This window comes from Homo sapiens, chromosome 10 (assembly GCF_000001405.40).
Source record: "Homo sapiens chromosome 10, GRCh38.p14 Primary Assembly".
Lineage (NCBI taxonomy): Eukaryota > Metazoa > Chordata > Mammalia > Primates > Hominidae > Homo > Homo sapiens.
In genome coordinates, this window is record NC_000010.11 from 92,595,707 (window position 1) to 92,616,637 (window position 20,931).

General features: G+C 40.9%; 1 protein-coding gene and 1 pseudogene across 1 annotated transcript in view, besides 1 other annotated feature; one reads left to right on the forward strand and one right to left on the reverse strand.

Annotated features, from left to right (window-relative positions):
* Positions 1-20,931, forward strand: part of KIF11 (kinesin family member 11) — a 62,266-nt gene that overhangs the window by 2,577 nt on the left and 38,758 nt on the right. Inside the window, exons 2-8 of the mRNA NM_004523.4 lie at positions 10,559-10,691; positions 10,913-11,010; positions 11,453-11,531; positions 13,314-13,499; positions 13,679-13,803; positions 17,334-17,424; positions 17,671-17,913. Coding sequence (NP_004514.2) covers positions 10,559-10,691; positions 10,913-11,010; positions 11,453-11,531; positions 13,314-13,499; positions 13,679-13,803; positions 17,334-17,424; positions 17,671-17,913 — 955 coding nt within the window. The remainder of the gene's footprint in view (positions 1-10,558; positions 10,692-10,912; positions 11,011-11,452; positions 11,532-13,313; positions 13,500-13,678; positions 13,804-17,333; positions 17,425-17,670; positions 17,914-20,931) is intronic.
* Positions 1,153-1,583, reverse strand: RPL11P4 (ribosomal protein L11 pseudogene 4; annotated as a pseudogene).
* Positions 1,744-2,259: an enhancer, noted in NCBI's record as "H3K27ac-H3K4me1 hESC enhancer chr10:94357207-94357722 (GRCh37/hg19 assembly coordinates)". NCBI's record gives its function as "activates a minimal SCP1, AML or CMV promoter by ChIP-STARR-seq in primed H9 embryonic stem cells {active_cell/tissue: H9 hESC(primed)}" and the evidence as "EXISTENCE:reporter gene assay evidence [ECO:0000049][PMID:30033119]".

The following is a 20,931-nucleotide window of genomic DNA, read 5'->3' on the forward strand; positions in this document are numbered from 1 at the left end:
TATACACATTAAACAATAACTCCCCATTTCCCTCTCCCATCAACCCGACACCTACCATTCGACTGTCTTATGATTTTGACTACTCTAAGTACTTCATAAAGTGGAGTCATAATACAGTATTTATCCTTTTGTGACTTGCTCATTCCACTTAGGCATAATGTCCTCCAGGTTGGACCATGTTGTAGCAAATGTCAGGGTTTTCTTCCTTTTTAAGGCTGCATAGTATTTATTATATGTATATACCACATTTTGCTTGTCCCTTCATATGTCAATGGATACTTGAGTTACTTCTTTTTTTGTTGTTGTTGTTTTTGAGACCGAGTCTCGCTCTGTTGCCCAGGCTGGAGTGCAGTGGCGCGGTCTTGGCTCACACTGCAAGCTCCATCTCCCGGGTTCACGCCATTCTCCTGCCTCAGCCTCCCAAGGAGCTGGGACTACAGGCGCCTGCCATCTCTCCCGGCTAATTTTTTGTATTTTTAGTAGAGACGGGGTTTCACCATATTAGCCAGGATGGTCTCCATCTCCTGACCTTGTGATCTGCCCGCCTTGGCCTCCCTAAGAGCCGGGATTACAGGCGTGAGCTACGGAGCCCGGCCTTGAGTTACTTCTTACTTTTAGCTATTATGAATAATGTTGCTATGAATATGGGTTTTCAATTCTTTTGGGTATTTACCCAGAATTGTAATTGCTGGATCATATGATAATTCTATTTTAAAGTTTTTGAGGAACCGACAAACTATTTTCCACAGTGGCTGGACCATTTTACATTCCTACCAACAGTGCATAAGGGTTCCAATTTCTCCACATCCTCACCAACGTTTATTTTCTGTTTCTTTTTTTTTTTTCAAGTAGCCATCCATTGGGTGTGAGGTGCTATCTCATTGTAGTTTTGATTTGTATTTCCCTAATGATTAATGATGTTGAGCATCTTTTCATGTGTTTACTGGCCATTTTGTGTATCTTTGGAGAAATGTCTGTTTAAGTCCTTTGCCCATTTTTAAATTGGTTTGCTTTTTTGTTGTTGAGTTTTAGGAATTTTCTATATATTTTGGATATTTTCAGATACATAAACGGCAAAAATTTTTTCCCCATTACTGTGGTTTGCCTTTTTACTCATTGATACCGTGTGGTCTTTTCCTTTCTTTTTCTTTTTGGAACCAGTGCATGGCCTCTTTGTTGATTCTGTGTTTGGCCCCAGTGCAGCCTGTTCTGTGCTATGTGTCTGCAGTGCTGAAACCAGGCCTACCCAGCACCATACAGAAGTCCAGGCTGTAGATACCAATGCATGGGTCACATTTGATACCCAAATCTGTGTGTTCCTGGATCTCCAAACCAAAGTTTCCAGTATCTGAGAAGTTGTTCTTTCTTGATTCACACTCCTGCATCTTTAGACCTTTCTTCAGGGTTTCTTCTGCTTTGGCCCTTTGTGCAGTGGGTGGCAATCTTCACTTCTCCTGATGCCAAAGGATCTGACAATGTATTTGACTTTGGAGAACACAGGGGTCTGGCCTATGAGCTGCTCCAACACCTTGGCTGCTGGGGTCAGTCATCTCCAGTCTCCTCCATACAGATGTTGAGACAGAAAATCGTTCTGTCACCCAGGCTGGAGTGCAGTGGCACAGTCTCGGCTCACTGTAACCTCTGCCTGTCAGGTTCAAGCAATTCTTATGCTTCAGCCTCCCAAGTATCTGGGATTACAGGTGTGCACCACCATGCCTGGCTAATTTTTTGTATTTTTAGTAGAGATGGGGTTTCGCCTTGTTGGCCAGGCTGGTCTTGAACTACTGGCCTCAAGTGATCCACCCATTTTGGCCTCCCAAAGTGCTGGGATTATGAGTGTGAGCCCTCATCTGGCCAGAGTTCTCTTTTTTTTACCTTGATCTTGCACTATGATGGAGAAAAGGAAGATAAAGTCTTTTTTTTTCCCTTGGGTTTGTTTGTTTGTTTGTTTGTTTGTTTTTTGAGACGGAATTTTGCTCTCGTTGCCTAGGCTGGAGTGCATTGGTACGATCTTGGCTTACTGCAACCTCCGCCTCCTGGGTTCAAGCCATTTTCCTGCCTCAGCCTCTAGAGTAGCTGGGATTACAGGCATGCGCCACCACGCCTGGCTAATTTTGTATTTTTAGTAGAGATGGGGTTTCACCATGTTGGTCAGGCTGGTCTTGATCTCCTGATCTCAGGTGATCCGTCCACCCTGGCCTCCCAAAGTACTGGGATTACAGGCGTGAGCCCGTGCCTGGGCTATTTTTTTTTTCTCCCCTTTAAATATAGTATCTTGCTTTATTGCCCAGACTTGTTGTGAACTCCTGGACTCAAATAGTCCTCCTACCTCAGCCTTCCAGGTAGCTGGGATCACAGGGATGCTGTCTTTTGATACACAAACATTTTAAATTTTTATGAAGTCCAGTTTGTCTTTTTGTTTTTGTTCCCTGTATCTTTGGTGTTATATCCAAGAAATCATTGCCAAATCCATTGTTGTGAAGCTTTTGCCTTATGTTTTCTTCTAAGAGTTTTATAGCTTTAGGTCTTACATACATTTTTGATCCATTTTGAGTTAATATTTGTATATTGTGTTAGATAAGGGTCCAACCTCATTCTTTTGCATATGGATATTTAGTTTCCCAGCACCATTTGGTGAAAAGCTTGTCTTTTTCTGATTGAATGGTCTTGGCAACCTTATTAAAAATCATTTGCTCATATGTAAGAGGGCTTATTTCTAAGTGCTGTTATGTTCCATTGGTCTATAAGTCTGTCTTTATGTCAGTACCACATGGTTTTGATTATTGCAGCTTTGTAGTAAGTTTTGAAATCAGGAAGTGTGAGTCCTCCAGCTTTGTTCTTTTTCAAGATTGTTTTGGCTATCTGGACTCCCTTGGGATTCCATATGAATTTGAGGATGAATTTTTCTATTTTTGTAAAACACGTCATTGGGATTTTAATAGGGATTACATTGAATCTATAGATCACTTTGGGTAGTATTGGCATCTTAACAATATTAAGTCTTTCAGTTCATGAACAAGGGATGTGTTTCCATTTATTTATGCCCCTTAATTTCTGCCAGCAGTTTTTTTTTGTTTGTTTTTGTTTTGAGATGGAGTTTCGCTCTTGTTGTCCAGGCTGGAGTGCAGTGGCACAATCTTAGCTCATTGCAACCTCCACCTCCCGAGTTCAAGTGATTCTCCTGCCTCAGCCTCCTGAGTAGCTGGGATTACAGGTATGTGGCACCACGACCAGCTAATTTTTGTATTTTTACTAGAGACAAAGTTTCACCATGTTGGTCAGGCTGGTCACGAACTCTTGACCTCAGGTGATCCACCCACCTTGGCCTCCCAAAGTGCTGGGATTATAGGCGTGAGCCACTGCGCCTGGCCTCAGCAGTGTTTTATAGTTTTCATTTTATAAGTCTTTCACCTCCTTGGTTAAATTAATTACTAATATTTTATTCTTTTTGGTGCTATTTTAAATTGAGTTGTTTTTGTAATTTCCTTTTTAGATTGTTCATTCTTAGTGTATAAAAATGTAACTGGAGGCTGGACGCAGTGGCTCTCACCTGTTATCCCAGCACTTTGGGAGGCAAGGTGGGCCTCCCAACTCCTGATCACGAGATCAGGAGTTCAAGGCCAGCCTGGCCAACATAGTGAAACCCTGTCTCTACTAAAAATACAAAAATTAGCCATGCATCGTGGCGCGTGCCTGTAGTCCCAGCTACTTAGGAGGCTGAGGCAGGAGAATCGCTTGAACCTGGAAGGTGGAGGTTGTGGTGAGCCAAGATCGTGCCACTGTACTCCAGCCTGGGCAACAGAGTGAGACTCTGTCTCAAAAAAAAAAAAAAAGAAAAAAGAAACGTCGCTGGATTTTGCTTGTTGACTTTCTATCCAGCTACTTTGCTGAATTCACTTATTAGTTCTAACAGTTTTTTTTTGTGTGTGTGTAATTTTAGAGTTTTCTTTTCTTTTTTTTTTTTTGAGATGGAGTCTCGCTTTGTTGCCAGGCTGGAGTGCAGTGGCGCGATCTCGGCTCACTGCAACCTCTACCTCCCAGGTTCAAGCAATTCTCCTGCCTCAGCCTCCCGAGTAGCTGGGACTACAGGCACACGCTACGACGCCCAGCTAATTTTTGTATTTTTAGTAGAGACGGGGTTTCACCATGTTGGCCAGGATGGTCTCGATCTCTTGACCTCGTGATCCACCTGCCTCAGCCTCCCAAAGTTCTGGGATTACAGCCGTGAGCCACTGTGCCTGGCTTTTTTTTTTTTTTAATTAACTATTGAACTTCTGTTTATTATTATTATTATTATTTATTTATTTATTATTTTTTGAGATGAAATCTCGGTCTGTTGCCCAGGCGGGAGTGCAGTGGTGTGATCTCGGCTCACTGCAACCTCCGCCTCCCGGGTTCAAGCAATTCTGTGCCTCAGCCTCCGGAGTAGCTGGGATTATAGGCGCTCGCCACCATGCCCGGCCAATTTTTGTATTTTTAGTAGAGATAGGGTTTCATCATGTTGGTCAGGCTGGTCTTGAACTCCTGACCTCGTGATCCGCCCGCTTCGGCCTCCCAAAGTGTTGGGATTACAGGCGTGAGCCACTGCACTTGGCCTTATTTTTATTATTTTTTTCATCAACTTTTAAGTTCTGGGGTACATGTGCATGATGTGCAGGTTTATCACATAGGTAAACCTGTGCCATCACAGTTTGCTGCACAGATCAACCCATCACCTAGCTATTAAGCCCAGCATCCACTAGCTATTCTTCTTGATGCTCTAGCTCCTTTTGCCCCACTGAATTTTAGGGTTTTCTTTCTTTTCTATTTTTTTTTCTTTTGAGACAGACTCTCGCTCTGTCACCAGGCTGGAGTGCAGTGGCACAATCTTGGCTCATTGCAACCTCTGCCTCCTGGGTTCAAGCGATTCTCCTGCCTCAGCCTCCCGAGTAGCTGGGACTACAGGCATGCGCCCATGCCTAGCTAAGTTTTTGTAGTTTTAGTAGAGACAGGGTTTCACTATGTTGGCAAGGCTGGTCTCAAACTCCTGACCTCAAGTCCCCTTGGGGTTCCTGAAGTACTGGGATTATAGGTGTGAGCCACCACGCCCGGCCAGATTTTCTATATAAAAGATCATATAATCTGCAGACAGATAATTTTACTTTTTCCTTTTCTTTCTTTTTTTCTTTTTTTGAGATGGAGTCTCGCTCTGTCGCCCAGGCTGGAGCGCGGTGGCGCCATCTCTGCTTACTGTTACCTCTGCCTCCTGGGTTCAAGCAGTTCTCTGCCTCAGCCTCCCAAGTAGCTGGGATTACATGCACATGCCACCACGCCCAGCTAATTTTTGTATTTTTAGTAGAGATGGGAGTTCATCATCTTGGCTAGGCTGGTCTTGAACTCCTGACCTCGTGATCCATCCGCCTTGGCCTCCCAAAGTGCTGGGATTACAGGCATGAGCCACCGCTCTTGGCCCTCAACCTTTTCCTTTTCAATTTGGATGCCTTTTATTTTTATTTTTCTTCCTTTTTTTTTTGAGATGGAGTCTCGCTCTGTTGCCCAGGCTGGAATGCAGTGGTGCAATCTCTGCTCACTGCAACCTACGCCTCCTGGGTTCAAACGATTCTCCTGCCTCAGCCTTCCGAGTAGCTTGTACTACAGGCATGTGCCACCATAAACAGCTAATTTTTTTTTTTTCTCGTATTTTTAGTAGAGACGGGGTTTCGCCGTTTTAGCCAGGCTGGTCTCGATCTCCTGACCTCGCGATCCGCCTGCCTCAGCCTTCCAAAGTGCTGGGATTACAGGCGTGAGCCACCATGCCCGGCCCTTGTTTTTCTTTCTTGCCTAATTACTCTAGCTAGAACTTACAGTATTATGTCGAATGGAAGTGGCAAAAGTGGGCATTGGGCATCCTTGTCTTGCTCCTGTTCTTTTATTTGTTAGTTTGTTTGAGATCCTCCTGCCTCAGTTTCCTGAGTAGCTGGGACTATAGACACACTACTACACCCAGCTAATTAAAAAAATAATTTTTTTTTTTTTTTTAGAGATGGGGTCTCGCTATGTTTCCCATGCTGATCCTGAACTCCTGGCTTCGGGTGATCCTCTACTCTTACCCTCCCATAGTGCTGTGATTACAGGCATGAACCACTGTGCTGGCCCTGTTCTTGTTTTTAGAGGAACATTCTTCAGTCTTTGACCATCAATTATGTTTGCTGTGGGTTTTTCATATGTTGCTTTTATTTTGTTGAGGTAGTTTCACTCTATTCCTAGTTTGTTGAGCATTTTTATGACTAATGGGTTTTGAATTTTGTCACATGCTTTTCCTGCATCGATTGACATGATTCTGTGGTTTCCTTCATTCTGTTAATGTGGTATATTACATTGATCAATTTTTACATGTTGGACCATCCCTGTATTCCAGGAATAAATCCCACTTGGTCATGGTGTATAATCCTTGTGCTGCTCAGTTCAATGTGTTGGTATTTTGTTGAGGATTTTTTTTTATCAGTGTTCATAAGGGATAGTGATCTGTAGTTTTCTTGTAGTTGCCTTTGTCTGGCTTTGGTATCAGGGTAATGCTTGCCTCACAAAATGAGTTGGGAAGTGTTCTCTCCTTTGCCAGATTTTTTCTGGGAAAAGATTGAGAAGAACTGGTATTAGATCTTCTTGAAATGTTTTATAGAATTCACCTATGAAACTATCAGATCTAGGGCTTTTCTTTGTCAGGAGATTTTTGGTTAGTGAGTCCATCTCTTTACTGGTTATAGCTCCATTCAGAATTTCCATTTCTTTGTGATTTAGTCTTTGTAAGTATTGTGTTTCTAGGAATTTGTTCAGCTGGGTTATCCGATTTGTTGGCATACAATTGTTGAAAATACTCTTTCAACAATAAGAGAGAAGACACAAATAACTAGTTCTTTTGTTTCCAGTTCCTTAAGTTGTAAAGTTAGGGTGTTGATATGAGATCTTTCTTGCTTTTTAATGTAAGCATTCATAGCTATAAATTTCCCCCTTAGCACTGCTTTTGCTGTGTCCCGTAAGTTTTGGTATGTTGTATTTTCATTTTCATTAATCTCTAAAATTTTCTAATTTTCCTTGTGATGTCTTTGAACCCTGGTTACTTAAACACACACACACACACACGTGTGTGTGTGTGTGTGTGTGTGTGTGTGTGGTTTTTTGTTTGTTTTGAGACTGAGTTTCGCTCTTGTTGCCCAGGCTGGGGTGCAATGGCGCGATCTCGGCTCACTGCAACCTCTGCCTCCCGGTTCAAGCGATTCTCCTGTCTCAGCCTCCAGAGTAGCTGGGATTACAGGCGCCTGCCACCACGCCTGGCTAATTTCACACACACATTTAAAAAATACATCTACCTGCTTTTACTTCAGAATCTTTGCAATTTCTGTTCTCTCTGCCTGAAAATTTTTTCCACCAAAATATCTACAGGGCCTGGCTCCCTTGCTTTTTAGGTTCTGCTTAAATATCACCTGCGTAGAAGCATTCCCTAACTACCCTAAAATAGCAACCAACTATCTTCCACCCTCAACACTTCCTATCCCCCTTAAACTGCTTTCTTTTCTTTTCTTTTTTTTTTTTTTTTTTTGAGACAGAGTCTCGCTCTGTTGCCCAGGCCTGGAGTGCAGTGGCGCATTCTTGGCTCACCGCAACCTCCACTTCAGCCTCCCAAGTAGCTGGGACTGTAGGTGGCTGCCACCATGCCTGGCTAATTTTTTTTTTTTTGAGATGGAGTCTCACTCTTTCACCCAGGCTGGAGTGTAGTGGCACAGTCTCGGCTCACTGCAGCCTCCATCTCCCAGGTTCAAGTGATTTCTGGCTAATTTTTGTATTTTTAGTAGAGATGAGGTTTCACCATATTGGCCAGGGCTAGTTTCGAACTTCTGACCTCAAGTGATCTGCCCACCTTGGCCTCCCAAAGTGCTAGGATTACAGGTGTGAGCCACTGTGCCTGGCCTAATTTTTGTATTTTTAATAGTGATGGGTTTTTACTATGTTGGCCAGGCTGATCTCAAACTCCTGACCTCAAGTGATTCACCCACCTCAGCTTCCCAAAGTGCTGAGATTACAGGCGTGAGCCACTGTGCCTGGCCTGCTTTATTTTCATTTCTAATTTATCAGCATCTAATATATTTATTCATTTTATAGTCATCTCTTCCTTCAACTAAGTTAAAAGCTCCCTGAGCACAGGATTTTGGTGTTTTTTTCTTTCCTTTAACTTTGTATTGTTCATTGCTGTATCTCCAGTGTCTAGAAAATTACCTATCACATAGTAAGTACTTGATGAATATTTGTGGAATGAGTTAATTTAGCACTTCTCCACAGGATAGGACTTAGGTTTTTTTAATCCTCAATCTCCCTTCCCTCACCATTTTGATTGTTTGAATTTTTATATAACTATGGTGAAGCCAACAAATTGATGGATTTGTTAGTGTGAGCAGCCGAAACTTTGCAATTTCTAATAAGTTAGAGAAGTCTGGGTAGGAAACTAATGACTTGGCAGTACTCTTTCTTAGAGTACACATAGTCCCTAAAGCTTCTCTGAGAATTTTGATAACTTTGAGGAATGTGTGATCTGTATGAATTTCCTATCACTTAGTCCTGACAATGTGAATGGTATTCATTTGGTAACTTAATTTTATACGTCCAGGCAAGATACTAGTTTAGGGGATGCCAAAAATAATAGACTAATTGGAAAAGCTTTAGCCACATGAGAGCAATTCACTCCACTTGATGCTCTTGGCCTACCTCAGTATAAGTTGGTTCTACCTTAGTTTTGTTGAAGTTTTAATAATACTGTACATTCATGTTGGTTATATGCATTGTGTAAGTTTTAGTATAGTTGGCAAATGAAAGCATTACCAGATACTACCTGGGAGTTAAGTTTCCTAGGATCACAGATTTGGTCTTCTGATCACTTGGAAGTATACTTAGAGTGGGCTGTGCCAGGGGAAGTTGAGGTATCCTTCTTAAATAAGTAGCAACTTGGTTTATCTAGTGATAAGGGGGAAATAATTTCCTGTTTGGCACTTTCTCCAAAATATATGATACTCAATGGGAAAAATGAACTCAGGTCAAGATTATGTCTCTCCCTTTGGCCCAGACATGTATTGAGTATATAATTGTCTTATTGATGCTACTCTGTGGACTGTGATATTAGTTTTCCCATAATTCCTCTTAGGATGACATTTATTAGGCAATGTAGTTTAACAGATATTTAAGAACCTACTGTGTGCTAAGCATGGTAGTTGTTGCTGGGGAAACAGTAAACTAGACAGTATTTCTTTCTGTAGTGATCTGAGGTTTAGTGGGTAACACATTAAAAAAAAAAGATAAGAGAGGTGATGTTTAGAAAAGGTGTATAAAGGGTGCTGTAGGAATATATAGCAGACATTTAATGTGGTCTTGGTTGGAGCAGGTGGGGGAGGCACATAGGATAGAAAGGACTTCCTGAGGAAATAATCATTTCAACTAAATACCTACTCAGGCATTTCCGTAGAATGAGGACTCTTGATCCAGTCGGCAGTGTAGACCTTCTGTGTCTATTCACTCATTTAAAAATGGGGCTAATAATATTACCAACCTCACAGTGTTGTGTGGACAAACTGAGTGAGCACAATGCAAAGCACTTGAAACAATAAGTACCTGGCACATAGTAAGTACTCAACTTATTAGTCATTATTTTTATGTACTTTTTATTTTGTGCCAGGTATCTACTGGCAGATTAGTATTTTGAACACAAATTTGACATGTTTTTTTCTACTACATCATAACCTAATTTGATCGGATTTTTTTTTTTTTTTTTTTTTGAGACGGAGTTTCGCTCTTGTTGCCCAGGCTGGAGTGCAATGGCGCGATCTTGGCTCACCGCAACCTCCACCTCCCAGGTTCAAGCAATTCTCCTGCCTCAGCCTCCCGAGTAGCAGGGATTACAGGCATGCACCACCATGCCCAGCTACTTTTGTATTTTTAATAGAGACAGAGTTTCTGCATGTTGGTCAGGCTGGTCTCGAACTCCCGACCTCAGGTGATCCGCCTGCCTCGGCCTCCCAAAGTGCTGGGATTACAGGCGTGAGCCACTGCGCCCAGCCTTGATCAGATTTTAAGAATAGGAGAAATGGAATTCTGAAAAATAAGTTTGGCATTTTTACAAGTTAAAACCTGTTAGTGGCTGGGCACAGTGTCTCACTTCTGTAATACTAGCACCTTGGGAAGCTGAGGTGGGATAATCACTTGAGCCCGGAAGTTTGAGACCAGCCTGTGCAACACAGCAAGACCCCATCTCTACCATCAAAACAAAACAAATCTATTCGTATCTGCTCTAAGAAGCTGCCAGAATTGTAATGTCTTAACATATCTTTGAACATTTAAAAAATTATATTTGTGAAACTTGAGACACTTATAATTTTACTGTCTGCTTTAGCAATATCACTTAGTCCTGATTTAATCTCCATCACCAACAATGTGGTCAAAATTTCGCATTTTTCTTGACAAATGTAGTTAGTGAAAATGTCATTGATAACCTGAGAACTAAGAGCTCTTGAATGACTTTGTGTATTTCTTTTTATAGACCATTTAATTTGGCAGAGCGGAAAGCTAGCGCCCATTCAATAGTAGAATGTGATCCTGTACGAAAAGAAGTTAGTGTACGAACTGGAGGATTGGCTGACAAGAGCTCAAGGAAAACATACACTTTTGATATGGTAACATATGGTGCAATTTCTTTATTATCCACTAATGTAAAATAATTTTAATATACATATTTTACCTGGAAAATGGTGTATACTTAGAAATTTCAGTTGTCTCTGAATTGTCAGATGGCTTCTAGTGGGCTGAATTATGAATTAGTTAACATACGAAAAACAAAATTATTAAAATGAGTAATTTTGAGGTTGATTTTTTTTTTTTTAATTTTTTTCGTTAGGTGTTTGGAGCATCTACTAAACAGATTGATGTTTACCGAAGTGTTGTTTGTCCAATTCTGGATGAAGTTATTATGGGCTATAATTGCACTATCTTTGCGTAAGTAAAAGGGTGTTTTTTCTGATTTATGAAAAAGCTTAAATGCTTGTGTTTTTTGTTGTTGTTTGTTTGTTTTTTGAGACGGAGTTTCACTCTTGTTGCCCAGGCTGGAGTGCAATGGCGCGATCTCGGCTCACTGCAGCCTCTGCCTCCTGGGTTCAAGCAATTCTCCTGTTTCAGCCTCCCAAGTAGCTGGGATTACAGCTGCCTGCCACCATGCCCGCTAATTTTTGTATTTTTAGTAGAGACGTGGTTTCACTGTGTTGGCCAGGCTGGTCTCGAACTCCGGACCTCAGGTGATCCGCCCACCTCGGCCTCCCAAAGTGTTGGGATTATAGGCTTGAGCCACTGTGCCTGGCTTGTTTTTTGTTTTTCTAGTCTATCACTAAGAGTCATATGGGTGCATGTTTCTTTTTGATTTAACACTTGTTAATCTTTACAGGTATGGCCAAACTGGCACTGGAAAAACTTTTACAATGGAAGGTGAAAGGTCACCTAATGAAGAGTATACCTGGGAAGAGGTATTTATTGTTTATAACATACTTTTATCTCTAATGTGACTGAAATTTAACTGTATAAAACTTGTTTGAGGGCCTCTGTCTTGGAATAGAGATCAGAGTACCTATGTCAAAATGAACTTAGGATAAACCACTACTACAGTAAAATTAAAGTGCATGGTATGACTCCTGTTTAAGAAACAGCCTCAATGGAAGAGGAAGGACCAATATATATGGCACAGTTATATGATAAAAGAGGAGTCTATTTATGACAGAATGGTTGGAGCAGAATATTGTAGAAAAGTTGGAATATGAGTGAAGCTTGAAGGCAGGGAGGGCTTTGTATTGAAGGAATGGGTCTCAGAAAGTTAGCATGGCCAGGGGAAGTATAGTACTTTATTCATGATGATCCTAAGTGTTCAAGAAATTAAGATGAATGTATTGTTTAATATTGCAGAAAGCATATACTATGTTTTACAAAGATTTCCATGAATTTAAGTGAGTTTAATAACTAAGAGAGAGAACCAATACTGGAAGAAAGTTGAAAGAAGACCAAGACAAGTTGAACTAGAGCTGAAGTGTTAAAACTTTTAAAAAAAAGTTTAGTTTTAAATTTAGTAATGTGTTTAAATTTAAATGAGTTTAATAACTAGTTAATTGGTCGGGCACGGTGGCTCATGCCTGTAATCCTAGCACTTTGGGAGGCTGAGGCGGGCAGATCACCTGAGGTCAGCAGTTCGAGACCAGCCTGGCCAACATGGTGAAACCCGGTCTCTACTAAAAATACAAAAATTAGCTGGGTGTGGTGGTGCATACGTGTAATCCCAGCTACCTGAGAACGAGACTCTGTCTCAAAAAAAAACAAAAAAACAAAAAACCAAAAAACTAGTTAATTTAAAAAAAAAAAGAATTTTTTTTAATTTTTTTTTTTTTTTTTAAATTTTAAAGTGATGGGGTCCCACTGTGTTCCCCAGGCCAGTCTTGAACTCTTGGGCTTCAGGAGTCCTCCCACTTCAGCCTCCTGAGTAGCTGGGATTAGAGGCACATACTACCTTGCCCAGCTAATTTTCCAAATTATTGACAGTTGGGTAGAACCTTTCTTCTAGTGGTTACATAATTGAGTCATTAACTTACTTTACATATATAGATAATAAAGTTATGAAATTGTTACCATAGGAGATATGGAATAGGCTTAAAGCATAGTTTCGCTGGGCAGAATTATTGAACTTGGCGTTTTTTTTTTGAGACGGAGTCTCGCTCTGTCGCCCAGGCTGGAGTACAGTGGCTCGATCTTGGCTCACTGCAACCTCCACCTCCCGGGTTCAAGTGATTCTCCTGCCTCAGCCTCCTGAGTAGCTGGGACTACAGGTACATACCACCAAGTCCGGCTAATTTTTGTATTTTTAGTAGAGATGGGGTTTCACCGTGTTGGCCGGGATGGTCTTGATCTCCTGACCTTGTGATCCACCTGCCTTGACCTCCCAAAGTGCTGGGATTATAGGCGTGAGCCACCGTGCCTGGCCGAACTTGGCTTTTTAAGTAGATAGGTTCCATTGGTTTCTATGTAATGCTCAGGGATGAAGATGGCTAAGAAGTGTGACAGGTTTATGGAGGGTGTGAAGACTACTGTAGAACAGACTGTTGTAAATGACTTCTCTAACATTAGGTTAGTTGTTTCTTTTTTTGTTTTGTTTTAACTTGCTTTGCCATACTTATGTTTAAATATATTATAAAGGAGGCCCATGTATTTTAACTGCCACAGTAAATGGCATTCTTCCTTTATATTAGTCCTTATTATAATTTCAGGATCCCTTGGCTGGTATAATTCCACGTACCCTTCATCAAATTTTTGAGAAACTTACTGATAATGGTACTGAATTTTCAGTCAAAGTGTCTCTGTTGGAGATCTATAATGAAGAGCTTTTTGATCTTCTTAATCCATCATCTGATGTTTCTGAGAGACTACAGATGTTTGATGATCCCCGTAACAAGGTAATTCAGTCTTTGAGAATGAAATGTCTCTGAATTTTAATGTGTGAGGCTTTGAGAAGTCAGAGAGAGAGAGAGAGAGAGAGAGAGAGAGAGAGAGAGTGTGTGTGTGTGTGTGTGTGTGTGTGTGTGTGTGTGTGTTTTAACCAATCTAATGGATGTTCTTTTGGTATTTTGGTCAGAGAGGAGTGATAATTAAAGGTTTAGAAGAAATTACAGTACACAACAAGGATGAAGTCTATCAAATTTTAGAAAAGGGGGCAGCAAAAAGGACAACTGCAGCTACTCTGATGAATGCATACTCTAGGTAAGAAAGCCATAGTCTCTTCCCTAGCCCCATTTTCTTTTAAGAAGAATTAGGAACTTGGAGAAAGTCAAATTGGGGTGGGTCAGGGTATGTGGGTCACGTACCTAGAGTTTGTGTTATAAGGAGGGGTCATTGGTAATTGGCTTGAGATTTATATGGAAGGAACCAATATTGGAAGAATGTTGAAAGGAGAACAAAGATAAGTTGAACCATAGCTGAAGTATTAAACTTTTTTTTCTTTTTTGAGACGAATTTTCGCTCTTGTTACCCAGGCTGGAGTGCAGTGGCGCGATCTTGACTCACTGCAACCTCTGCCCACCGGGTTGAAGCAATTCTCCTGCCTCAGCCTCTTGAGTAGCTGGGATTACAGGTGTCTGCCACTACGCCCAGCTAATTTTTGTATTTTTGGTAGAGATGTGGTTTCACCATGTTGGCCAGGCTGGTCTCGAACTCCTGACCTCAGGTGAACCACCTGCCTTGGCCTCCCAAAGTGCTGAGATTACACGTGTGAGCCACGGCGCCCGGCCTAAACTTTTTTAAAGTAGAAGAATCCTTTTATTCTAGTAACATGATATATGGAAGCCCAGGATAAAATGTGGCTGCTATAGTTGATTTTGGAATGGGACGCTCTGAGGCTTACCTCCTTAGCCTTATGAAGGGGTCCCTGAGGCACTTTTGTGGAGCCCCCTACTGATATTAGAATATAGTTTGAAAACCCTTGCATTGAATAAGGATTAGAAGTTAGGTCTTTTAAAATGGCTTTATTTTAGTGTGGGAGACAGATGGTCACTAACACTGGCTTTCATGGGGTGAAAGGGATGATTTTTTTCGCTCTAAATATCTTTTACCGAAATATAAAATTCCTTTTTAAAAAATTGTTTATTTTCCTCTCTTACCACTCTATTCATTGAGATATAAAATCCCTGTCATAAATTTACGTAAGTTAGAAACTCCTTTTTTCTTGTAAAGACCCGTACAGGACAAATTCCAAATTCTACAGATATAGTTTACTAAAACAGAAGTGGTTTTTTTGTGTGTGTGTGTGGTCTTTAAACCTCAGAATGTAATAGAAAAAGCAATGGATTGCAATTAGATATTTGCGTGTAGTCTCAGTTTCGCGGTTAATTCAGTATGTGACTTTTTGTAAATAAGTGAATTTATCTGCTTATCAGTTTCTCTGAGCTACAAAATTATTGTTAGGATTAGAAGTCTTATTTCTTTTCTGGCTTGTAGTTGAAAATTTCTATAAAATGCCATAACAATTACAGTTGCAACTCTAAAAAAGTTTGCATTTAAAGAAAGAAGAAAAATATAACATAAAAGTGATTAAGATCATGGAATTTTGGATGATTTCAAAATTTTAATTAAATTTTCACTTAATGGCTTTCCAATAAAATGGAAATTTTATTCTGTGGTTGATTATAACTTAATTTCATGTAGAATTTTGAGAACTGAACTAAAGACTAGGTAAAATTTCTTTAGGTACATTTCACTAAAGTATAAAATTTCTATTTTTCCTTTTTTCTTGTATGTAGACTTGTATAAAGGTCACTTTTTATGAAGGTATGTGACAAAGAGGAGAAGCTAATTAATTCAGTTTTCCCAAATTAGAGCTAACTTCAATGCTTATTTGTATTAATTGCCTAATCTGGATTAGGAATGGGTAGATAATGGTAGAAAAACATGAGATGAATAGTATTATTATTATTATTATTATTTTTGAGACAGAGCCTCTCTCTGTCCCCCAGGCTGGAGTGAAGTGATGCGATCTCGGCTCACTGCAAGCTCTGCCTCCCGGGTTCACGCCATTCTCCTGCCTCAGCCTCCTGAGTAGCTGGGACTACAGGTGCCCACCACCACGCCTGGCTAATTTTTTGTATTTTTAGTAGAGACGGGGTTTCACTGTGTTAGCCAGGTTGGTCTCGATCTCCTGACCTCGTGATCCGTCCACCTCGGCTTCCCAAAGTGATTACAGGCGTGAGGCACCATGCCCGGTGGAGATGAATATTATAATTCAGATCTATAGTTTACATTTATGTTTTTCCTTAGGTCTTCCTCCTTTTCTGTAATTTTAAATAATTTAAATAATTTTATAAAAATGATACTTGGCTGGGCGCGATGGCTGACGCTTGTAATCCCAGCACTTTCGGAGGCCAAGGTGGGTGGATCACTTGAGGTCCGGAGTTCAAGACCAGCCTGGCCAACGTGGTGAAACCCCGTCTCTACTAAAAATACAAAAATTAGCTTGGTGTGGTGGCGTGTGCCTGTAATCCCAGATACTCGGTAGGCTGAGGCAGGAGAACTGCTTGAACCCAGGAGGCAGAAGTTTCAGTGAGCTGAGATCATGCCATTGCACTCTAGCCTGGGCAATAAGTCTCAAATAAATAAATAATTAAAAAAGATACTTAATTTTTTTTTTAAGTAACATGAAAGTACAAAGAAGAAAATTGAAACTTACCAGATTCTCTGTCAATTGTCAGTGATATTAACAAACATAATAATGTTCACCAAATGCCATTGGATACAGAAAGAATGTCTTTGGTCATCTGTATAATTTTTTTTCCCCCTAAGATAAAAAGCACAGTATTTGTTTTGTTTTTTGTTTTTTTGTTTGCTTGTTTGTTTTTTTGTGATTTTTTTTTTTGAGACAGCGTCTCACTTTGTCACCCAGGCTGGAGTGCAGTAACTCAATCATGGCTTACTGCAGCCTTGACCTCCTGGGCTAAAGTGATCCTCCCACCTGAGCCTCCAGGGTAGCTGGAACTGTAGGAGCGTGCCACCACGCCCAGCTAATTTTTAAATTTTTTTGTAGAGATGATGGTCCCACTATGTTGCCCAGGCTGGTTTCGAACTCCTGAGTTAAAGTGACCCTCCTACCTTGGCCTCCCAAAGTGTTGGGATTACAGGCATGAGCTACCACCCCTGGCCTGAATATCAGTATTTAGCATAAGGTAGACTTTTGAACATTTTATAATCTAGCAGTGATTATCTTGTAGTGTTTTAGTAATCATGCTGTTTACTATTTCTGCTGTTAGGGGATAGGAGTCATCTATTTCTGATGACAGTCTCAAAGCAGAGAAGTGTACTTGTGCATGTACACAACAGCTGACATGGATGGGAAGGTGGAAGAGTAAACTAATGCCTTACCTGGTACCATTTGAATTTATGGTAATGACATATTTCAAATGGTTCTTATGAATAGAAGATGATTACAAGCCATCTCTTCTTGACATACCAGGCAACTGTTTCGACCCCACCCACATCCAGCTTTCAGAGGTGCCTCAGGATTCTAAGTCTTTTAGAGAGCTTCTTATTGATGCCTCTTTTGCAGGCAGTAGATATGAGAAAACAAAATCCTAATCACTGTTCTATCTATCTCCTATCTTCCAAAATATTCTTGATATCTCCTGTCTGATGTTATCTTTCTCTACTCATGTGGATTTAGATCTTCTTTCCTGTTTTCAGTATTTCAGAAGCAGCAAATGCTATTTTACATTATAATGACTGGGCAACTTGATATTGTTTTCTAGTCGTTCCCACTCAGTTTTCTCTGTTACAATACATATGAAAGAAACTACGATTGATGGAGAAGAGCTTGTTAAAATCGGAAAGTTGAACTTGGTAAGCATCCACCTTAATACTACTGTTTCACTCTTAAACACCTTATAGAGCAGCTTGAAATTTTGTCCTTGAGACAAAATTTTTGTGGTCACTGGGTGATTAGCTTTGTAGTGGGAGAAGAAATTTGTTAATTACAGAAAAAATTATTTTGCTGGCGATTTAATACATTATGTATCCTGTGAGAATGAAAGTCTTTGAATCCAAATCCAATAGACTCACTTTTTATTTTTATTTTTAAAATTAAAGGTTGATCTTGCAGGAAGTGAAAACATTGGCCGTTCTGGAGCTGTTGATAAGAGAGCTCGGGAAGCTGGAAATATAAATCAATCCCTGTTGACTTTGGGAAGGGTCATTACTGCCCTTGTAGAAAGAACACCTCATGTTCCTTATCGAGAATCTAAACTAACTAGAATCCTCCAGGATTCTCTTGGAGGGCGTACAAGAACATCTATAATTGCAACAATTTCTCCTGCATCTCTCAATCTTGAGGTAAGCCCTTTGAAAGGAAGCTGCAAGTGTAGTAGCTGTAATTCTTATTTGGCTATTATATATTTTAAAAGTTCATTTACTAGGATGGACACAGTGACTCACACCTGTAAACCCAGCACTTTGGAAGTCCAAGGTGGGCGGATCACTTGAGCTTAGGAGTGCCTGGGCAACATGCCGAAACCCTGTCTCTACCAAAAATACAAAAAATTAGCTGGGTTTGGTGGTGTACAACTGTGGTCCCAGCTACTTGGGGGGCTGAGGTGGGAGGATCACTTAAGCCTGGGAGGCAGAAGTTGCATTAAGCTGAGATCATGCAACTACACTCCAGCCTGGGTGGCAGAGGGAGACCCCATCTCAAAAAAAAAAAAGTATGTGTATAAAAAAAAAGAAAAGTATGTGTATACACACACACACACACACACACACACACACACACACACACACACATATAGTAGGGAAAAAAAGTTCATTTAGTAGCTTCATTTTTTTTTTTTTGAGACAAATCCCACTCTTGTCCCCCAGACTGGAGTGCGATGACGCGATCTCGGCTCACTGCAACCTCCACCTCCCAGGTTCAAGCGATTCTCCTGCCTCAGCCTCCCAAGTAGCTGGGATTACAGGCACCTGCCACCACGCCCACCTAATTTTTGTATTTTTAGTAGAGACGTGGTTTCACCTTGTTGGCCAGGCTGGTCTCAAACCCCTGACCTCAGGTGAGCCGCCCGCCTTTGTCTCCCAAAGTTCTAGGATTACACGCGTGTGCCACTACTCAGCCTAGCTTCGTTCATTCTATGCTATAATGTAAAAGAATCTGGACATTGCATATGAATATATACAGGAGGACACTCCTGAAGAAGTTATCTTTTTCCTTCCTGGCAGAGTTTTTAACCTTAAAAAGCCAGTTTCTTAATGGCTTTTTCCACACAGTCTTCAAAGAAAATTGCTGTGGTCATTAGCAGTGGGTGGTGTATGGAGATTTAATTGAGGACTTAGAAGCAGGCCAAGTGAATGCTCGCTAGTGTGGTAGAGGCTGCTTAGAGAACACTGAAGATGGCGTTGGATGTGTGAGAACAGAGAGGAAAACCAAGAAAAGTAACAAAGATGGTAAAATGTACGCTTATTTTATTGCTATCATCTGCCTTAAGTGGAAATTTTATTTATTTATTAATTTTTTTACTTTTAGAGGTAGAGTCTCATACTGTTGCCAAGGCCGCAGTACAGTAGCATGATCATGGCTCACTGCAACTTAAATTCCTGGACTCAAGTGATTCCCCCAACCACAGCCTCCTCCTGAGTAGCTAGTACTACAAGTGTGAGCCACCAGGCCTGGCTAAGTTTTGTTTTGTTTTGTTTTAAATAGAGACAGAGGTCTCACTATGTTGCCCAGGCTGGTCTTGAACTCCTGGGCTCAAGGGATCCTCCTACCTCAGCCTCCCAAAATGCTGCGATTATAGGCATGAGCCACCTCACTTGACCTAAATGGATTTTAAAAAGCTTTTTTAGGCCAGGCACGGTGGCTTACGCCTGTAATCCCAGCACTTTGGGAGGCTGAGGTGAGTGGATCATCTGAGCTCAGGAGTTCAAGACCAGCCTGAGCAACATGGTGAAACCCCATCTCTACTAAAAAATACAAAAAATTAGCTGGGCATGGTGGTGCGCGCCTGTAATCCCAACTACTCAGGAGGCTGAGGCGGGAGAGTTGCTTGAACCCAGGAGGTGGAGATTGTAGTGAGCCGAGATTGCGCCATTGCACTCAAGCCTGGGTGACAGAGTGAGACTCTGTCTCAAAAAAACAAAAAAGCTTTTTTAAGGTGTCCAACTGCCCCTTCATTAAAAAAAAATCTTTGTTGAGATTTAATTCACATACCATAAAATTCACTGATTTAAAGTATATTAATTTAATAATTCTAGTATATTTACAGAGTTGTCCAACCATCACCAAAATCTAAGTTTTGAACATTTTCATAACCTCAGAAAGAAAGCCTGTACCCATTGAAATTACTTTTCCATTTGCCCCACTCCCATCGCTACTGCTTTTTGCATCTATATATTTGCCTATTCTGGGTATTTCATATAAATGGAATTACGTAATAGGTAGTTTTTTGTGACTGGCTTCTTTCACTTAGCATAATGTTTTCAAGGTTCATCTGTGTTGTACCAGCAATACTTTATTCCTTTTTACAGGTGAATATTATTCTATAGTATGGATATGGGATTTTTTTGTTTTTTTTTTTTTTTGAGATGGAGTCTCGCTCTGTTGCCTAGGCTGGAGTGCAATGGTGTGGTTTTGACTCACTGCAGTCTTCGCCACCCGGGTTCAAGTGATTCTCCTGCCTCAGCCTCCTGAGTAGCTGGGATTACAGGCGCCACCACCATGCCTGGCTAATTTTTGTATTTGTGGTGGAGACAGGGTTTCACCATGTTGGCCAGGCTGGTCTCGAACTCTTGACCTCATGATTCACCCGCCCCGGCCTTCCAAAGTGCTGGGATTACAGGTGTGAGCCACTGTGCCCGGCTGATATAGGACATTTTGTTTATTCATCAGTTGGTAGATTGATTGAGCTTTGTGGTTTTTTTGTTTTGTTTTGTTTTTTTGTTTTTTTTTTTTGAGACAAGGTCCCTCTCTGTTGGCTGGAGTGCAGTGGCACATTCACTGTAACCTCAACCTCCTGGCCTTAAGTGATCCTCCCACCTTAGACTCCCAAGTAGGTGGGACTATAGGCACATACTACTATGCCCAGCTAATATTTATTTATTTATTGTAGAAACAGGATCTCCCTATGTTGCCAAGGCTGGTCTCGAATTCCTGGGCTCAAGTGACCCTCATGCCTTGGCCTCCAAAGTGCTGGAATTACAAATGTGAGCCATCATTGAGTTTAAGAATAGTCTAAAGGAAATTATCCTAAGGGTCGAGACTCTGAAAATTGAAGAGAAGGGAAAAAAGGATTGAACAACTTCCTTTTTAAAGGTTGGGCATAGTGGTCTTAATGACTAGATTTTAAAATTAGATATAACTAT